The 1455-nt window shown below is 48.7% G+C and overlaps 1 annotated feature.

Moving 5' to 3' along the window:
- Window positions 1150-1219: an enhancer, noted in NCBI's record as "active region_24142". NCBI's record gives its function as "activates an Ori minimal core promoter by ATAC-STARR-seq in GM12878 lymphoblastoid cells {active_cell/tissue: GM12878}" and the evidence as "EXISTENCE:reporter gene assay evidence [ECO:0000049][PMID:35858748]".

Raw genomic sequence — 1455 nt, 5'->3', positions numbered from 1 at the left:
ATTTGGGGGTAGAGTCGACTGGACTGGCTGATGTGTGCGGGAAGATTTAGGAGAAGAGAGAAAAAGCAGAAAAGACTCCCTGCTTCCGGCATGAGAAAATTTCTTCTGGTTTCACAGCCTAGGAAGCAGCAGAGCCCAATTTAAAACCAAGGCTCGCCGGGCGCGGTGGCTCATGCCTGTAATCCCAGCACTTTGGGAGGCCGAGGCGGGTGGATCACGAGGTCAGGAGATCGAGACCATCCTGGCTAACACGGTGAAACCCCGTTTCTACTAAAAATACAAAAAAAAAATTAGCCGGGAATGGTGGCATGCGCCTGTAGCTGCTGGGGAATGGTGGCAGGGGAATGGAGTGAACCCGGGAGGCGGAGGTTGCAGTGAGCCGAGGTTGCGCCTCTGCAGTCCAGCCTGGGAGACAGAGGGAGACTCCGTTTCAAAAAAAAAAAAAAAAAAAAAAAAACCAAGGCTCTCTGGCTTCAAAGCCACTCTTGACTCCAATTTTTTTTTTTTTTTGGTGGCTGCTGAATTGAACCCCAAAGTGATTGCTCTCTGGTCTTCCCCAACCACTTAATCCCAAACTCCCAGCATTAAGCCTTTGTATAGCATGGGCTCCCCCCAAACCCTGAACCTTGGGATGCTCAGCAAATAGATTCTCAGAGCAACCAGAGAGGAGGAAATCTGGGATCAGTGTTTGAACAAATGCAAAGACCCGCCACTGAAGGCCTGGTGTCAGAGAAACCGCCACCTTTTCCCTGCACCATCCTTATTCTCCTAAAATTCTCACCTCATCACCCCCACTCTCCTTCCCCTTGTCCTTCAAGGCTTCCCTAGGCAGCTACCCCCACTTCTGTGTGGGTCTGTGTACCAGGAAAGGTCATCTCACTCCCTCTGTGCTACGAGAGGTATAACTGTGGCTCTAGGAACACCACACTAGGTAATTCCTTCCATCGCTCATGAAGGAGATGGAGGAGAAGCAGCAGAAAGTGGTTTTAGGGAAGTCAGAACAGGAGAGAATAGTTTCTGGTATCAGCCATGACAGAGAATCCAGTGGTAAGAGAAATGAAAGGGGTGATTAAGTTTGGCTGACGGGAGAAAAGCTTCAGAAGGGTACAGGAACGCAACTGCCTTACAGCAGACCGAGAGGCTGGGGAACAGTGAAGCGGCCAGACAGAAGCATAAAGTAGACTTTCATGCAATCTCAGCCACAGTGACAGGAAAGGGGGAAGCTGATGTGTAGCTGAAGGAGAAAGCAGAACCAAGATGAGTGATTTTAATAGAAGGCACATAGGAAAGCATTTTAAAAGTGTTATGTAAATATAAAAGATTATTAATATTTGGCCTTACCATATGCTGCCTTTTACTTATTCATTTTTAAGACAGAGTTTCACTCTTGTTGCCCAGGCTGGAGTGCAGTGGGGCAATCTCGGCTCACCGCAACCTCCGCCTCCTGGGTAGCTT

The sequence above is a fragment of the Homo sapiens genome, chromosome 6 (genome assembly GCF_000001405.40).
Source record: "Homo sapiens chromosome 6, GRCh38.p14 Primary Assembly".
Classification (NCBI taxonomy): domain Eukaryota; kingdom Metazoa; phylum Chordata; class Mammalia; order Primates; family Hominidae; genus Homo; species Homo sapiens.
Note: the sequence above shows the minus strand (reverse complement) of the source record. Positions and strands in the feature narration are given on the sequence as shown.